This window comes from Homo sapiens, chromosome 4 (assembly GCF_000001405.40).
Source record: "Homo sapiens chromosome 4, GRCh38.p14 Primary Assembly".
In the NCBI taxonomy this organism is placed as follows: Eukaryota; Metazoa; Chordata; class Mammalia; order Primates; family Hominidae; genus Homo; species Homo sapiens.
Genome location: NC_000004.12, coordinates 71,007,617 through 71,025,985, shown reverse-complemented (window position 1 = coordinate 71,025,985; position 18,369 = coordinate 71,007,617). Strand labels below are relative to the sequence as shown.

At 37.6% G+C, this 18,369-nt stretch overlaps 1 protein-coding gene across 2 annotated transcripts in view, besides 1 other annotated feature; it reads right to left on the bottom strand.

Moving 5' to 3' along the window:
- DCK (deoxycytidine kinase) overlaps nt 1-18,369 on the bottom strand; it is a 37,266-nt gene that overhangs the window by 4,929 nt on the left and 13,968 nt on the right. For both annotated transcript variants that reach the window (NM_000788.3, XM_047449689.1), the window contains exons 3-5: nt 3,426-3,619; nt 2,280-2,427; nt 55-170 (exon numbers count right to left, since the gene is read on the bottom strand). In NM_000788.3, the coding sequence (NP_000779.1) occupies nt 55-170; nt 2,280-2,427; nt 3,426-3,619 (458 nt within the window). The remainder of the gene's footprint in view (nt 1-54; nt 171-2,279; nt 2,428-3,425; nt 3,620-18,369) is intronic.
- Nucleotides 7,607-7,803: a silencer, noted in NCBI's record as "fragment chr4:71883900-71884096 (GRCh37/hg19 assembly coordinates)". NCBI's record gives its function as "represses an EF-1alpha promoter that drives an FKBP-Casp9 reporter gene in an ReSE screen in K562 erythroleukemia cells {active_cell/tissue: K562}" and the evidence as "EXISTENCE:reporter gene assay evidence [ECO:0000049][PMID:32094911]".

The window sequence follows — 18,369 nt, the reverse complement described above, 5'->3', positions numbered from 1 at the left end:
TAACAAAGGTAACAAAGGTATTTAAAATGAATAGTAAATAAAAATAAGTCTTACTTCAGTGTCCTATGCAGGAGCCAGCTTTCATGTTTATAATGAAGCTTCTCTAAATATTCAAGAGGAATGCCTTGCTCTTCATTTCTTCCCCGTAAATATATTCTATGTAAGCATGTCTAAAAGCAAGTAATAAGAGATGGAAGAAAAAGGCAGGGAACAATTATTCTTGTCTGCTGCCATCAAAATTTTCTTTTCTGTGTCTCTCTACTCACGCTAGCCAAAATCTCTACTTATTACTTCTTAAAAGCTGAAATAATTCATTTTTCCCTCCATGAGCTTTTCAGCCACTTGGTGGCTCTAAGCCAAGCAGTACTTTCAAAAATAAGCCTATAAATTTTTGGTATCCATCCACACATGAAATATACTAAGTTTGATAAAAAGGAGAAAAAAATTAAACATCTACTTAAAATGTTCAGAGACAACAGCTAAAAGGTATGCCAATCTATAAACATAATCTTACTTTGCTGTTAACCAACCTTGATTACAAAATATCTATGTTCAGTTCACATAAAACCACTAAAGACAGTGGTTCTTAATGTGATGAAAACTCTATATCAGCACAACCAAAACAACTTTGGAATGTTTTATGCCTGTCCTATATCTGCATTATCAAATAAGGTAGCCACCAGCCACCTGTGGTTTTTAAGCACTTGAAATATGGCTAGTGTGGTGACCAAGGAACTAAATATCTAAATTTTATTTAATTTTAATAACCCTAAATTTAAATAGCCACATTGGACAGTGCAGCTCTAGATAACGGTCCCCCAAAAGCACACATACATAAAAAATTTCGTATAATTTGTGGGGGCTCATATACCATGAGAAACTCTTCATGCATTCCAAGAAATAAAAGCCTCCAACCTAAATGACATGCATAAGACCATGGCAGCATACAAACTGTGTTTCAAACTCTACTCTAAATTCTCTTTTCAATAATTAAACAATCCTTTCATCCAAAGATATCAGAAACAATACTGATGAAATTATCAGTATCAAAATGAAATTATTAGTATTATTTATGTTTTTGGTGTTTGTACTATTTTCATAACTTTAAGAAACCTTTTCAAAAATAAAAGTGAATTTCAAAATTATTATATTTGCTAAATTCTAGCTTAATAGTGACTATAAATGTTTCAAGCAAAATGAAATTATTCATATTCCTTATGTTCTTTTTCACATTTTTATTTACTATTTTTGTAATTAAAAACAAAAAAATTCAAAAATAAAAGTGAATTTCAAAATTCACTTTTGAAATTGCTAAAAAATTGCTAAATCCTTGCTTAATGAAGAACAAAATCTTTACTTAATGAAGAACAAAATCATCCGTTGGAATAGGAAACCTAATTTCTTTGAAAACCCAGCTTCGACAGCAACACAGTATTCTAATTTTAGGCCAGAAGTCATAACATTTACATTCATCAGTGCCTACCCTGTGACTTAAGGAAAAAATGAGAATTAAAAAACAGAAACAATAGAAATGCACGCACCAAAACCAGAAAGCTTCTGATTAAATGTAAGATCTTAATATTTAGGTTAGTTTTATGAAAGGCATCTATTTGGTCATCCTGTATTCATTATATAACATCATATGTAACTAGAATAGCTATGTTACAACCTATCACAAAAAGCACCTTTTCAAGTGAGCTCCCTTAATGGAAAATGGCAAGGGTCCTCTAAGTCTTTTCCCAACGATAGCTGCCATTATCCACTCATTCCAAGGCACAAACAACCATAATAAAATATTTCTTGATATGGACCTCCATCAACATTGCCATTCATTCAGTAAATATTTACTGAGCTCCTACTATATGCTCCAACAGTGCCCAGCACTGGGTGTTCTAGGCAATGGAAATTCAATAGTAATCAAAATGCCCAAGGTCCCACCTCATGAAGCCTATATTCTAGGAGTTGCTTGACCACATTCATTACTTTAACTGTGATGAATGAGAAGAGTCTGCAAATGTTAGAAAGAAATAATGAGTAAAATAAAAAAGAATTGAGGAAGCACAAAGAGCCTAAAACAGCAACTTGCCCAGTCTGGGATTCCAGTTTGCTGAGAAAAAAGAATGCTTCTATCTACACAGTTACAAGTTTCTAATTTAGAGGTGGGGAGTGGGAGGTTGGGAGGCTGGAGTTAAACTAAATTGCCCTCATTATATACCACTGAAAAGAGTTCTAAATATTTCTTTAAATTTTCAGTGAAACACATTTTTATTGGGTTTTACCTCTGGAGTGGCTTGAAGATAAATGATTCCATCCAATTCAAGGCTTTGGCCAAATTGGTTATTCATCCAGTCATGCCAGTCTTGATAAATTGTCCACTCTGTCTCATTCATGCATTCAGATTCATACAAATTAGATGCAAAAATATACCTAAAAGAGAGTCTTCATCAACACATGTATCATTTCAAAAAAAAACAACAAAGAAATAAAAAAGAGAACAGGAACATGAAACATTCTCCTAAATCCAGTGGCACATAGTGCCGTGGAAAGCAGAAAAAGACAAGAGTCTTTCCATCATGTTTTTGGCCAATGGTTCTCAAAATACGGAGTGAGGACCCCATTAAGTCCCCAAGATCTTCTAAGGGGTTCTGTGAGAGGCCAGATTACTTCATATACCAATATACTTCAAACAAACAAACATACCATAACAGATTAAATACAGAAGCATAAATAAAAATCCAGCTGTCTTTTAATAAGTGAGGCATTAAAGATATCTGCAAAAATGTAAAGCAATGATATTCTTCTAGCTACTTTTTATTTTAGAAAATATAACTTTTTGTCAAATGTATTTATATTAATATGTAATGAATTTATTATTGCTAATTTTAAATCATTTTTGTGCATCTTAATTTCTAGTAATGTTAAGTATCAATAGGACATGCTCTTTGGACACCTCGATAGTTATTAAGAATTGAAAAGGGCCCTGAGATCAAATGTTTGAGAACCTCTGTTCTGAGCTAACTTTGGAGGTCAAAAGAATCCTAGCATAAGTAGGGCAATTCTAAGGCCCCTTAGAGACTTTTATCTTCTTGATCCAGGTAAGAGTCTAGGATATAGATCCAGATTTAACCAGAGCAGATGAGAATTTTAAAAGGGTTAGAGGGAAAAACAACTTCTCTGCAAATTTAAATGAAATGGGCACCACCATATTCCCAACAGTTTCTATGGAAGCTGAGGATTATAAATGCAATAACTTCCCTAATGCCATTAGTACCAGACTGCTGAGGGATTTAAATGTCATTTTCCATCTTAAATCCCCAGCTCAGCCATTCATTATTACTAATTCCCAGGAAACATTAAAAAAAAAAAAAAAGTCCAGTTCTAAGATAAAAACTTCAAATGGCCACGTACAAGCCATTTATACATACCTGTCACTATACACAGATCGTTCAAAAAATAATACAGGTTTCTCTGCATCTTTGAGCTTGCCATTCAGAGAGGCAAGCTGAGCTCTTATTCGACTGAGACAGGCATATGTTTGGAAGGTAAAAGACCATCGTTCAGGTTTCTCATACATCATCTGAAGAACATTCCCACCATTTTTCTGAGACATTGTAAGTTCCTATTTTGAATGTGCAAAAAGAAATAAAAAGCAAAATTAATGGTCAATAGGGCTATTTTAATTTTTAAGGCTAAAAAATAAAAGTCAGATAAATAAATGTAATCATGATCAGCAAAACCAAGATGATTAAGTTCCCTTTCTCATACTCTTTCCCAATATATTTTTCAGATTGTCTGAGGTCTGGAAAATCCTTAGATCTTTCTCACAAGAGGTTACAAACTAATAACCTATGGAAGAAATCATTGTTTGGTCCAAAAGTCCTTTTTAAAACTTTGACTTAGTTTGTCAATAGTATTGTCAATATTTAAAAGCTAAATAATTTCACATAAAATATTTGGATTTACATCTTCTTTTTTTTCTTTTTTGAGATGGAGTCTTGCTCTGTTGCCCCAGCTGGAGTGCAGTGGCACGATTTCAGCTCACTGCAACCTCCACCTACCAGGTTCAAGCAATTCTCCCGCCTCAGCCTCCCAAGTAGCTGGGACTACAGGCGCGTGCCACCATGCCCAACTAATTTTTTACATTTTTAGTAGAGACGGGGTTTCACCGTGTTAGCCAGGATGGTCTCCATCTCCTGACCTCATGATCTGCCTGCCTTGGCCTCCCAAAGTGCAGGGATTACGTCTTCTTTTTAAAAATGAAAAAACCAAGCAGTACCATGCCCATATTCCCTCTTGGCAAAAATCAGCTAGAATCAAGTCACAGATGCCTCCTTTAGATGGGATATATGCTCTCTGGCTTATTAATCCCCACCATTCCCGGATGATTTTCATAACAGGCCTGATATATTCATTTGGCTGTCTGGCCCCTTTAGGCATTTGTATTTGTAACCCTCCAATCTTCTAATATAATACAATAGTTCCTGCCCCAGATTTTGCAATTCAATAATCTTATTGTTAGAACCACATTTTACATGTTGAGGAAAAATACAAATGTAAATTTTAAAATGAAGTAAAAACTCTTATCATCTTTTATCTGAGTTAGAAATAGCAGGCCGGGCGCGGTGGCTCACGCCTGTAATCCCAGCACTTTGGGAGGCCGAGGCGGGTGGATCATGAGGTCAGGAGATCGAGACCATCCTGGCTAACAAGGTGAAACCCCGTCTCTACTAAAAATACAAAAAATTAGCCGGGCGCGGTGGCGGGCGCCTGTAGTCCCAGCTACTGGGGAGGCTGAGGCAGGAGAATGGCGTGAACCCGGGAAGCGGAGCTTGCAGTGAGCCGAGATTGCGCCACTGCAGTCCGCAGTCCAGCCTGGGCGACAGAGCGAGACTCCGTCTCAAAAAAAAAAAAAAAAAAAAGAAATAGCATCTGGAACACATGAATTATTTTTCTCTTTCTATAAAGTTTTCCTAGTTCTGTCCATCAAAAGGCCTATAAACAATGACAACATTGTAGGAATATACAAAAATATCACCCAGATTATAATCTCTAAATACCATTTCCCACTGAAAGGAATTAGAATTCTGATTCTAAATCTGGGGAAGAAAATATACAAGATGAGCTTCATCTTGTATATTTTAGGAAACTACTACAGACCACTGGGATTGTGCCAAGGACAAAGGAGCCAACATAAATAAGCTGCCACTGGTCAAAGAAAGAATAATTTGAACATCGAAAATGAATGGGAGGCAAAAATCCATGAGTTTATAATTCTAAACAAACAAACAAAACTCTAGTCATGTTTTGAGGCTCCTAAGGCACAAATTAATTATTCTGGGAATATGTAGGTAAAAAGAAAAAAAAAGTCCCATTTTATTTTGGCCTTTCCTGTATAAATACTTTCAGGGTAATAAAGTGGTATATGAGGAAGAGGTCTTCTTTCCTGAAGAATCCCAGCCAATAAATTCAGAAGGCTGGAGAAGGAATATCACCTTTTACAACACCTACTAATATACTGCAATGAGGCAACAATTAGCAATAGATGCTATCATTAGAGAAAAGTTAATTGGGAATTTTACAACGGATGAATCAATCTGACAACAGCTAAACTGTTTGATTTTAACATCACAAAACACATCTTCTTGATGTAAAGAAATACACATCACCAACTAGGAATCTTGCCAAAAAAGAATTGAAAGTAAATCTAATCAAGCCTGTCTCTACCTATAAATTTACTGGAAATACAGAGAACTGAAAAACATGTTAAATTTTACCAGAGATACACTCAGCCAAAACCAGAATGAGGAAAATTATGTAGAACAAATGACCCTGTTTCTTCAACAAATAAATTATAAACAAAGAGACAATCAATAGATTAAAATTTAAAAGGCATATCAAGGGCAGGCCCAGTGGTTCACGCCTGTAATCCCAACACTTTGGGAGGCCGAGGCAGGCAGATCACCTGAGATCAGGAGTTCAAGACCAGCTTGGCCAACATGGTGAAACCCTGTCTCTACCAAAAATATAAAAAATTAGCCAGGCGTGGTGGCACGCGCCTGTAATCCTAGCTACTCGGGAGGCTGAGACAGGAGAATCACTTGAACTGGGGAGGCAGAAGTTGCCGTGAGCTGAGATCATGCACTGTACTTCAGCCTGGGTGACAGAGCAAGACTTCATCTCAGAAAAATAAATTTAAAAAAAAATAAAAGGTATATCAACCACCAAATGTAACGTGTGTGAACCTGGTTTGGCTCCTAATTTCAAAAAATTACGAAAACATTATTAGACAATGGGGAAATATGAACACAGACCGGATAAGATGATAAAAAGAATTATTAATCTTTTAGATGATATGTTTTAAAAGACTATATTTCTAGAGTTCTCTGTGAGTCTGTCTTTTCCAGATGAAGTAATATATTCTCTAAGATAGAGGTTCTTCAAAGTATAGTAGGAGAAGCTCCAGGGGTCTCTGGATCTTTTCAGGAGGCTAAAGTTCTGGAGATCTGTTCATAATGACCTAAATATGCTTATAATACTACTGAGCTGTATACTTAAAAATGGTTCAGATGATAAATTTTATATTTTTGCCACAACAAAAAAATTAACTAAAAAAGACCACATACCTCCTTTTATTTTAATTTCTCAATAAATATAATCTCTCTTGCCCAAAGCAATTTCAAAGTTTACTATATTAAAATAACTTAGAGAACCAATCTTGATTCATCACCTAACAAAAAAATAATAAACTAGTTCTAAAAATACAAATATGTAAATTCAAACTGAATCAAAAATCTGAAATAGAATTTTCAGCTATGAAGATGTTATTGTCTCTTAGTTTAATAGTGTAACAAATTAGAAAATTAACAGTAAGCCAGGGTATCATTATCTGGTTCCTCAGGATAACTTATGAGTCATATAAAACATTTTCTTTTGATCCTATGCATGAAATTTGAGACAAATTGCTAGGGTTTTTTGTATGCAATTATAAATGTTAAGAATATTAAAAATTTATCCAGCCAGGTGAGGCAGCTCAGGCCTGTAATCCCAGCACTTTGGGAGTCCGAGGCAGGCGGATCACTTAAGCTCAGGAGTTCCAGACCAGCCTGGGCAACATGGCGAAACCCTGTCTCTACAAAAAATACAAAAATTAGCCAGGTATGGTGGCGTGCACCTGTAATCCCAGCTACTCCGGAGGTTGAGGTGGGAGAATTGCTTATGCCTGGGAGGTGGAGGCTGCAGTGAGCCAAGATTGTGCCACTGCACTCCAGCCTGGGTAACAGAGCAAGACTCTTGTCTCAAAAAAAAAAAAAAAAAAAAAATCTAAAAAATACTGTGCATCATCTTTACCAAACTGAATGTTAATTTTATCAAGTTCTCCCCTCTGCAAACTATCCAGATAAAAAATATGAATGTGTCAGAGTGAAACTACATTAAATACAAATTGGTAGAACATGGTTAGATAGAAAGCAGTTTAGCTACATTTGTGGGAAAAAAAAAACCTGTACCTTTTGGCCCAATTAATTCCACTGTTGAAAATTTACTTTAAAGAAATAATCTAGGCCGGGCGCAGTGGCTCACGCCTGTGATCCTAGCACTTTGGGAGGCCAAGGCGGGTGGATCACAAGGTCAGGAGATCGAGACCATCCTGGCTAACACGGTGAAACCCTGTCTCTACTAAAAATACCAAAAAAAATAGCGGGGCATGGTGGCAGGCGCCTGTAGTCTCAGCTACTCGGGAGGCTGAGGCACAAGAATGATGTGAACCTGGGAGGCGGAGCTTGCAGCAAGTTGAGATGGCGCCACTGCACTCCAGCCTGGGAGACAGAGCGAGACTCCGTCTCAAAAAAAAAAAAAAAAAAGAAATAATCTAGAATACAAATTTAACCACAAAGGTATTTATCACAAGGCTAAGCGAATAGGTTATCATTCCACTATTATTAGGCATTTATATTAAGTAAATAATAGTACATGCATACAATAAATTAGGCTGCTGTTAAAAATCATTTACAGTAAATTTTTAACAACGATTTTAATTGCCCTGATATATAAATTTTTTTTTTATACTTTAAGTTCTTGGGTACATGTGCACAACGTGCAGGTTTGTTACATATGTATACATGTGCCATGTTGGTGTACTGCACCCATTAACTCGCCATTTACATTAGGTATTTCTCCTAATGCTATCCCTCCCCCCTCCCCCCACCCCACAACAGGCCCCAGTGTGTGATGTTCACATTCCTGTGTCCAAGAGTTCTCATTGTTCAATTCCCACCTATGAGTGAGAACATGCAGTGTTTTGTTTTTTTTCCCTGCGACAGTTTGCTGAGAATGATGGTTTCCAGCTTCATCTATGTCCCTACAAAGGACATTAACTCATCCTTTTTTATGGCTGCATAGTATTCCATGGTGTATATGTGCCACATTTTCTTAATCCAGTCTATTACTGATGGACATCTGGGTTGGTTCCAAGTCTTTGCTATTGTGAACAGTGCCGCAATAAACATATGTGTGCATGTGTCTGTATAGCAGCATGATTTATAATCCTTTGGGTATATACCCACTAATGGGATGGCTGGGTCAAATGGTATTTCTAGTTCTAGATCCTTGAGGAATCACCACACTGTCTTACACATGGTTGAACTAGTTTACAGTCCCACCAACAGTGGAAAAGTGTTCCCATTTCTCCACATCCTCTGCAGCACCTGTTGTCTCCTGACTTTTTAATGATCACCATTCTAACTGGTGTGAGAGGGTATCTCATTGTGGTTTTGATTTGCATTTCTCTGATGGCCAGTGATGATGAGCATTTTTTCATGTGTCTGTTGGCTGCATAAATGTCTTCTTTTGAAAAGTGTCTGTTCATATCCTTTGCCCACTTTTTGATGGGGTTGTTTTTTTCTTGTAAATTTGTTTGAGTTCATTGTAGATTCTAGATATTAGCCCTTTGTCAGATGAGTAGATTGCAAAAATTTTCTCCCATTCTGTAGGTTGCCTGTTCACTCTGATGGTAGTTTCTTTTGCTGTGCAGAAGCTCTTGAGTTTAATTAGATCCCATTTGTCAATGTTGGCTTTTGTTGCCATTGCTTTTGGTGTTTTAGACATGAAGTCCTTGCCCATGCCTATGTCCCAAATAGTATTGCCTAGGTTTTCTTCTAGGGTTTTTATGGTTTTAGGTCTAACATTTAAGTCTTTAATCCATCTTGAATTAATTTTTGTATAAGGTGTAAGGAAGGGATCCAGTTTCAGCTTTCTACATATGGCTAGCCATTTTTCCAGCACCGTTTATTAAATAGGGAATCCTTTCCCCATTTCTTGTTTTTCTCAGGTTTGTCAAAGATCAGATGGTTGTAGATGTGTGGTATTATTTCTGAGGGCTCTGGTCTGTTCCATTGGTCTATATCTCTGTTTTGGTACCAGTACCATGCTGTTTTGGTTACTGTAGCCTTGTAGTATAGTTTGAAGTCAGGTAGCGTGATGCCTCCAGCTTTGTTCTTTTGGCTTAGGATTTACCTGGCAATGCGGGCTCTTTTTTGGTTCCTTATGAACTTTAAAGTAGTTTTTTCCAATTCTGTGAAGAAAGTCATTGGTAGCTTGATGGGGATGGCATTGAATCTATAAATTACCTTGGGCAGTATGGCCATTTTCACGATATTGATTCTTCCTATCCACGAGCATGAAATGTTCTTCCATTTGTTTGTGTCCTCTTTTGTTTCATTGAGCAGTGGTTTGTAGTTCTCCTTGAAGAGGTCCTTCACATCCCTTGTAAGTTGGATTCCTAGGTATTTTATTCTCTTTGAAGCAACTGTGAATGGGAGTTCACTCATGATTTGGCTCTCTGTTTGTCTGTTATTGGTGTATAAGAATGCTTGTGATTTTTGCACATTGACTTTGTATCCTGAAACTTTGCTGAAGTTGCTTATCAGCTTAAGGAGATTTTGGGCTGAGACGATGGGGTTTTCTAAATATACAATCATGTCATCTGCAAACAGGGACAATTTGACTTCCTCTTTTCCTAATTGAATACCCTTTATTTCCTTCTACTACCTGATTACCCTGGCCAGAACTTCCAACACTATGTTGAATAGGAGTGGTGAGAGAGGGCATCCGTGTCTTGTGCCAGTTTTCAAAGGGAATGTTTCCAGTTTTTGCCCATTCAGTGTGATATTGGCTGTGGGTTTGTCATAAATAGCTCCTATTATTTTGAGATACATCCCACCAATACCTAATTTATTGAGAGTTTTTAGCATAAGGGTTGTTGAGTTTTGTCAAAGGCCTTTTCTGCATCTATTGAGATAATCATGTGGTTTTTGTCTTTGGTTCTGTTTATATGCTGGATTATGTTTATTGATTTGCGTATGCTGAACCAGCCTTGCATCCCAGGGATGAAGCACAATTGATCATGGTGGATAAGCTTTTTGATGTGCTGCTGGATTCAGTTTGCCAGTATTCTACTGAGGATTTTTGCATCGATGTTCATCAGGGATATTGGTCTAAAATTCTCTTTTTTTGTTGTGTCTCTGCCAGGCTTTGGTATCAGAATGATACTGGCCTCATAAAATGAGTTAGGGAGGATTCCCTCTTTTTCTATTGATTGGAATAGTTTCAGAAGGAATGGTACCAGCTCCTCCTTGTACTGCTGGTAGAATTCGGCTGTGAATCCATCTGGTCCTGGACTTTTTTTGGATGGCAGGCTCTTAACTATTGCCTCAATTCCAGAGCTTGTTATGGGTTTAATCAGGGATTCAACTTCTTCCTGGTTTAGTCTTGTGACAGTGTATGTGTCCAGGAATTTATCCATTTCTTCTAGATTTTCTAGTTTATTTGCGTAGAGGTGTTTGTAGAGGTGTTTATAGTATTCTGTGATGGTAGTTTGTATTTCTGTGGGATCAGTGGTGATACTCCCTTTGTCATTTTTTATTGAGTCTATTTGATTCTTCTCTGTTTTCTTCTTTATTAGTCTTGCTAGCGGTCTATCAATTTTGTTGATCTTTTCAAAAAACCAGCTCCTGGATTCATTGATTTTTTGAAGGGTTTTTTGTGTCTCTATTTCCTTCCGTTCTGCTCTGATCTTAGTTATTTCTTGCCTTCTGCTAGCTTTGGAATGTGTTTACTCTTGCTTCTCTAGTTCTTTTAATTGTGATGTTAGGGTGTCAATTTTAGATCTCTCCTGCTTTATCTTGTGGGCATTTAGTGCTATAAATTTCCCTCTACACACTGCTTTAAATGTGTCCCAGAGATTCTGGTATGTTGTGTCTTTGTTCTCATTGGTTTCAAAGAACATCTTTATTTCTGCCTTCATTTCGTTATGTACCCAGTAGTCATTCAGGAGCAGGTTATTCAGCTTCCATGTAGTTGAGCGGTTTTGAGTAAGTTTCTTAATCCTGAGTTCTAGGTTCGATTGCACTGTGGTCTGAGAGACAGTTTTTTATAATTTCTGTTCTTTTACATTTTCTGAAGAGTGCTTTACTTCCAACTATGTGGTCAATTTTGGAATAAGTGCGATGTGGTGCTGAGAAGAATGTATATTCTGTTGATTTGGGGTGGAGAGTTCTGTAGATGTCTTTTAGGTCCGCTTGGTACAGAGCTGAGCTCAATTCCTGGATATCCTTGTTAACTTTCTGTCTCGTTCATCTGTCTAATGTCGACAGTGGGGTGTTAAAGTCTCCCATTATTATTGTGTGGGAGTCTAAGTCTCTTTGTAGGTCTCTAAGGACTTGCTTTATGAATCTGGGTGCTCCTGTATTGGGTGCATATATATTTAGGATAGTTAGCTCTTGTTGTTGTATTGATCCCTTTACCATTATGTAATGGCCTTCTTTGTCTCTTTTGATCTTTGTTGGTTTAAAGACTGTTTTATCAGAGACTAGGATTACAACACCTGCCTTTTTTTTGTTTTCCATTTGCTTGGTAGATCTTCATACATCCCTTTATTTTGAGCCTATGTATGTCTCTGCACATGAGATGGGTCTCCTGAATACAGCACACTGATGGGTCTTGAGTCTTTATCCAATTATCCAATTTTCCAGTCTGTGTCTTTCAATTGGAGTATTTAGCCCATTTACATTTAAGGTTAATATTGTTATGTGTGAATTTGATCCTGTCATTATGATGTTAGCTGGTTATTTTGCTCATTAGTTGATGCAGTTTCCTCCTAGCCTCGATGGTCTTTACAATTTGGCATGTTTTTGCAGTGGCTGGTACCGCTTGTTCCTTTCTATGTTTAGTGCTTCCTTCCGGAGCTCTTGTAGGGCAGGCCTGGTGGTGATAAAATCTCTCAGCATTTGCTTGTCTGTAAAGGATTTTATTTCTCCTTCACTTATGAAGTTTAGTTTGGCTGGATATGATATTCTGGGTTGCAAATTCGTTTCTTTAAGAATGTTGAATATTGGCCCCCACTCTCTCCTGGCTTGTAGCGTTTCTGCCGCGAGATCCACTGTTAGTCTGATGGGCTTCCCTTTGTGGGTAACCCGACCTTTCTCTCTGGCTGCCATTAACATTTTTCCCTTCATTTCAACTTTGGTGAATCTGACAATTATGTGTCTTGGAGTTGCTCTTCTCGAGGAGTATCTTTGTGGTGTTCTCTGTATTTCCTGAATTTGAATGTTGGCCTGCCTTGCTAGATTGGGGAAGTTCTCCTGGATAATATCCTGAAGTGTGTTTTCCAACTTGGTTCCATTCTCCCCATCACTTTCAGGTACACCAATCAGACGCAGATTTGGTCTTTTCACATAGTCCCATATTTCTTGGAGGTTTTGTTCATTTCTTTTTACTCTTTTTTCTCTAAACTTCTCTTCTCACTTCATTTCATTCATTTGATCTTCAATCACTGATACCCTTTCTTCCAGTTGATTGAATCGGCTACTGAAGCTTGTGCATTCGTCATGTAGTTCTCGTGCCATGGTTTTCAGCTCCATCAGGTCACTTAAGGACTTCTCTACACTGGTTATTCTAGTTAGCCATTCGTCTTTTTTCAAGGTTTTTAGCTTCTTTGCCATGGGTTCGAACTTCCTCCTTTAGCTCGGAGAAGTTTGATTATCTGAAGCCTTCTTCTCTCAATTCGTCAAAGTCATTCTCCGTCCAGCTTTGTTCCGTTGCTGGCGAGGAGCTGTGTTCCTTTGGAGGTGAGAGGCGCTCTGATTTTTAGAATTTTCAGCTTTTCTGCTCTGTTTTTCCCTATCTTTGTGGTTTTATCTACCTTTGGTCTTTGATGATGGTGACGTACAGATGGGGTTTTGGTGTGGATGTCCTTTCTGTTTGTTAGTTTTCCTTCTAACAGCCAGGACCCTCAGCTGCTGGTCTGTTGGAGTTTGCTGGAGGTCCACTCCAGACCCTGTTTGCCTGGGTATCAGCAGCGGAGGCTGCAGAACAGCGAATACTGCTGAACAGCAATTGTTGCTGCCTGATCGTTCCTCTGGAAGCTTCGTCTCAGAGGGGTACCCAGCCGTATGAGGTGTCAGTCTCCCCCTACTGGGGGGTGCCTCTCAGTTAGGCTATTCGGGGGTCAGGGACCCACTTGCAGAGGCAGTCTGTCCGTTCTCAGATCTCAAACTCCGTGCTGAGAGAACCACTACTCTCTTCAAAGCTGTCAGACAGGGACATTTAAGTCCGTAGAGGTTTCTACTGCCTTTTGTTCAGCTATGCCCTGCCCCCAGAGGTGGAGTCTACAGAGGCAGGCAGGCCTCCTTGAGCAGCGGTGGGCTCCACCCAGTTCCAGCTTCCAGCCCACTTTGTTTACCTACCCAAGCCTCAGCAATGGTGGGCGCCCCTCCCCCAGCCTCACTGCCGCCTTGCAGTTGGATCTCAGACTCTTGACATATAAATATTGTGGGGGGTGGGGAAGAAACAAAATACAAAACTGTATACTGTTCTTTCAAGTAAGATCTATGGTTATCTCTGGATAATAAGGTTATAGGTAAGTTTTAGTCCCCTCTTTTGATAATTTCTAATATTTCCTTAACTTCAAACAGTAAACAGGTATTACTTTATAATATTTTTTAAATTACATATCACCTCCACCAAAATTTAATATATTACATTATTAATTCAACTATGTAAAAGATACATACAGAGTGGTAGGATTATGAATAACATTTATTCTGTTCTCTATAATATATGTCCATTTTCACTTTATGAAAGAATACTTCATTGTTATAGGAAGTACAGATTATTGTCAAGGTAAGTGAAAAATAGAAATATCAAGGTCAGCTATAAAATCATTTATCTTTTAATTCTAGGTCTAATCTTTGTAAACATTGCAAAAGAGTTGAATTAAGTTCAACTGTAAAAGATCAGAGTCTACCAAACAAGATAATTATAAAATAGCCAACAGGCCAGGCATGGTGACTCATATGCCTAATTCTAGCACTTTGGGAGGCCGAGGCAGGCGGATTGCTTGATCCCAGGAGTTTGAGACAAATCCAGACAACATTGGCAAAATCCTATCGCTATAAAAAATACAAAAATTAGCCGGGCATGTTGGTGTGGGCCTGTAGTCCCAGCTACTGAGGAGGCTGAGGTGGGAGGATCACTTGAGCCCAGGAGGCGGAGGCTGCAGTGGGCTGAGGTTCACCATTGCACTCCAGCCTGGGCAATAAAGCAAGACTCAAAAAAATACAAGCCAACAAAAGTTATCACATCTATTCAAAAGGTACAAGTGGAAGTGCTTTATCAAGCATTCTTAACTAATTTTCAAGAATGACTTACTAAGGGACAGAGCAAGACTCCGTCTTAAAAAAAAAAAAAAAAAAAAAAAAGAGACCTCACACCTGTAATCCCAGCCCTTTGGGAGGCTGAGATGGGTGGATCACTTGAGGTCAGGAGTTCAAGACCAGCCTGGCCAACATGGTGAAACCCCATCTCTACTAAAATTACAAAAATTAGCCAGGCGTGGTGGCACATGCCTGTAATCCCAGCTCCAGCTACTTGGAAGGCTAAGGCAGGAAAATCGCTTGAACCTGGGAGGCAGAGGTTGCAGTGAGCCAACATCACACCACTGCACTTCAGCCTGAGCGACAGAACGAGACTCCGTCTCAAAAAAAAAAAAAAAGAATGACTTATTAAAAGTAAAAAATATGCTGTTCTGTCATAAATAAGTATGGTTTACACCTTCTTTATCACAATTACTAGTTTTTCAGTGGCTTATTAGTGGTAAGAAGTATTGGATAAAAGTAAAATAGTACGGGTAATGCGTATGTTAATTAGCTTGGTTTAACCATTCCACAATGTAGACATATTTTAAAACATCATGTTGCATACCATAAATATAATTTTTATATTATATATAATTTATATTATGTATATAATTTTTATATTATATATAACTTATGTATATAATTTACATTACATATGATTTATATATAAATATAATATAAAATTAAATATAATTTTTATCTGTAAATTAAAAATAAAAATATCTTAATTTTTTTAATTAAAAGTAAAATAGTACTTCACAATAATAGTGATCCTCCAAAAGAATTCAGCTCAATGAAAAAACAAGACAGAGACAGCTTCCTAACAGACTGCATATCTCAAAAATAAGCTAAAAGGAAACAATTAAATCAAAACTTTGGGCCTAAATAATAACATAAATCACCACATAAAGTACATTATTATTATTTTTAAAAACGTTCCATACCAAGATTGCTAATAATCTGAGTGGTATGTTTTAAAGATCATTCTCACCAAGAGAGATTTGGAGAAGGGAGAGAACATAATCTTTGGTGCTTTGCCTCTTACTATTTTGCCAAAATTAGGAGTACCTTATCAATAGTATAGCAACATTTCGGCCACTAGGTGGCAGGTTAAAAAAAAAAAAAAAAAGCTAAAACAGCAAAAGCTAAGCATATGGGTGCACAGTAAGTTGCTAAACGAAGAGATCAGAGGTACCAAAGGCCCAATTCTTCCAAATCTACAAATGCCAAGAAGTGTGATGAAACAAGAACATCAAAGTAGGACTGACCTTGCCAAGGTTAGGTCTGAAAACAGTCACTTCTCATCACTAACAGCATTCTAAGAAAAATTGACATTTGAATAGTGGGTGATTCATACTATAACCTCAAGGAATAGATCAAGGATGAGTCTGGGGAAGAAGGACTACTGGATGAAGAAATAAAATCTCACTTCTTGAGTTTAGTGGAAGAAAATATCCAAAGATACAGGGAAGCCACCCACCCAACCATCCTCATATTCCACAACTATATCTCAAAAATACTACCCCCTCTGTACAGAAGTACAGAGAATTAACAACGGAGCAGTCCCCAATACACACAAAAAAGCTGAAGCTACCTTCCAAGAATGTGCACCAAACTCTAACAAAGGTAATCAAATTGTAACATCATGAAGACATGACCAGATTACAATAAACGGCCTGATAAAAGAATATGTTAATAATAATAGGATCACCTGCATGCTAGTTATAAAGAATGGCCAGTTTGGCATTCTGAATCAAGTATATGGAAAGAAAATGTCCCATCCCATAAACATGGATATCAGATTCAGAAAGCCATTAAGTCTTAAAATGAAGACAAATGTATTAATGCATCACAGTCTGATGACACAGTCTGATTAACATGATTTAACTAATCCCTCTGGGCTCTGATTCCAAGCTCAACAGACAACCTTATTATAAATTGTCTTGTCTTATATACGAAAGCAATGTTTTTCAACTTCTCTGCAACCTAACTAAAGAGTTCAGTATACTCCCAACAGTTAACAGTGATTCACTAGGGTGATGACTTTTAACTATGAGGCATCCCACATATTTGAACCTCCAAGGGATTGTTATTTTAAAAAGCACCCGAATCCTTGAGATTCTTTCTTGTGTGTACAAATTATGGAATACATGAGAAATTTTGTACATGTATATAATATGCAGTAATCGAATCATTCAGGGTGTCCATCACCTGAGTACAATGTATTTTTCCATTCTACCTTGCTATAAAACACTGAATTATTTCTTCAAGCTTCCTGTATATCTGTACACTTTAACTCACTCCTCTTCATCTTCCCCTCCTCCTACCCTTCCCAGTTATTGTTATCTATTTTTCCACACTCTATCTCCATGTGTTCAAACTGTTTAGCTCTCAGACATTCTTATGACTTCCTTCCACTGGTTGAGAATTACGAACCAAATAAAGAATAAACTGATCTAAATTCAATTACCTTAATGATTACATTTCTTTCTGCAAATTAAAATTTTTGGCATTTTGGTTTTATATGTCAGTTTCTGTGCCCTTGGTTAATGTGAGGCATGCTGAGAGTCAAATGACAAATATGTCAACGGACCTTAAATGGAGGTCACCTAGTCCAATACCCTGTTTAAGAATACCCTCTATTTTCCAACATTGGTTTAATCTGGTTAGTTTCTGTCTACTACCTGAGGATAACTGCACTGACAGCTGACCCCAGAAATAAAAGGAAAAAGAGTTGCTTTTAGAACTCCAGTCTCTCCTTCAAAAGCTAAGCAAACTTGAGTAGGTACTTCAGCGAAAAGCTACATTAAAAATGCAGTGAGAGAAGACAGATGGCTCAGAGGAAAATGGGCAAAAGGACCCAAGTGGGCACTTTGCAAAAATCAAAATGACTAATAAACATATGAAAAGGAACACAGCCTCATTAGCCAGCGGGGAAATACAAATTAAACAAAAAAATAGTAAACACTCAGCAGAATGACAAAAATGAGAAAGCCAGACACTACTAAATGCTGGCAAAGACATAGATTAATGAGAGCTTGATTACACTGGGGGGAGAGAAAATTGGAAAGCCAGTTTGGAAAACAGGCATCATAAGCATTCCCAGTAATTTTACTTCTTATTCCTACAGAAACTTTTGCATGTATGCGGGTGAATTTATGTTCACAGCAATGCTGTTTACATAAGCAACTAAATTGGAAATCACTCAAAAATCAATTAAAGGTATAAAATGGACAAACAGTGATAGACGAATAAAATTAAATACTATAGGCCCCACATAGTGGCTCAAGCCTGTAATCCCAACACTCTGGGAGGCTGAGATGGGCAGATCGCTTGAGCCCAGGAGTTTGAAACCAGCCTGGGTAACATGGCAAAACCCCGTCTCTATAAAAAATACAAAAATTAGCCAAGCCTGGTGGCACACAGGCGTGGTGGCCTATGGTCCTAGATACTCAGGAGGCTGAGGAGAGAGGATCACCTGAGCCAAGGGAGGTTGAGGCTGCAGTGAACCATGGCTGCGCCACTGCACTTTACCTGGGCAACAGAGTGAAATCCTGTCTCAAAAAAAAGAATATTTTTAAAAAACAAAATTCAATACTATATAGCTGAAAATAAGCTACAGCTGCATATAATATGGACAAATTTCATAAATGTATTAAGTAAAAGAAGCGAGAGGAAA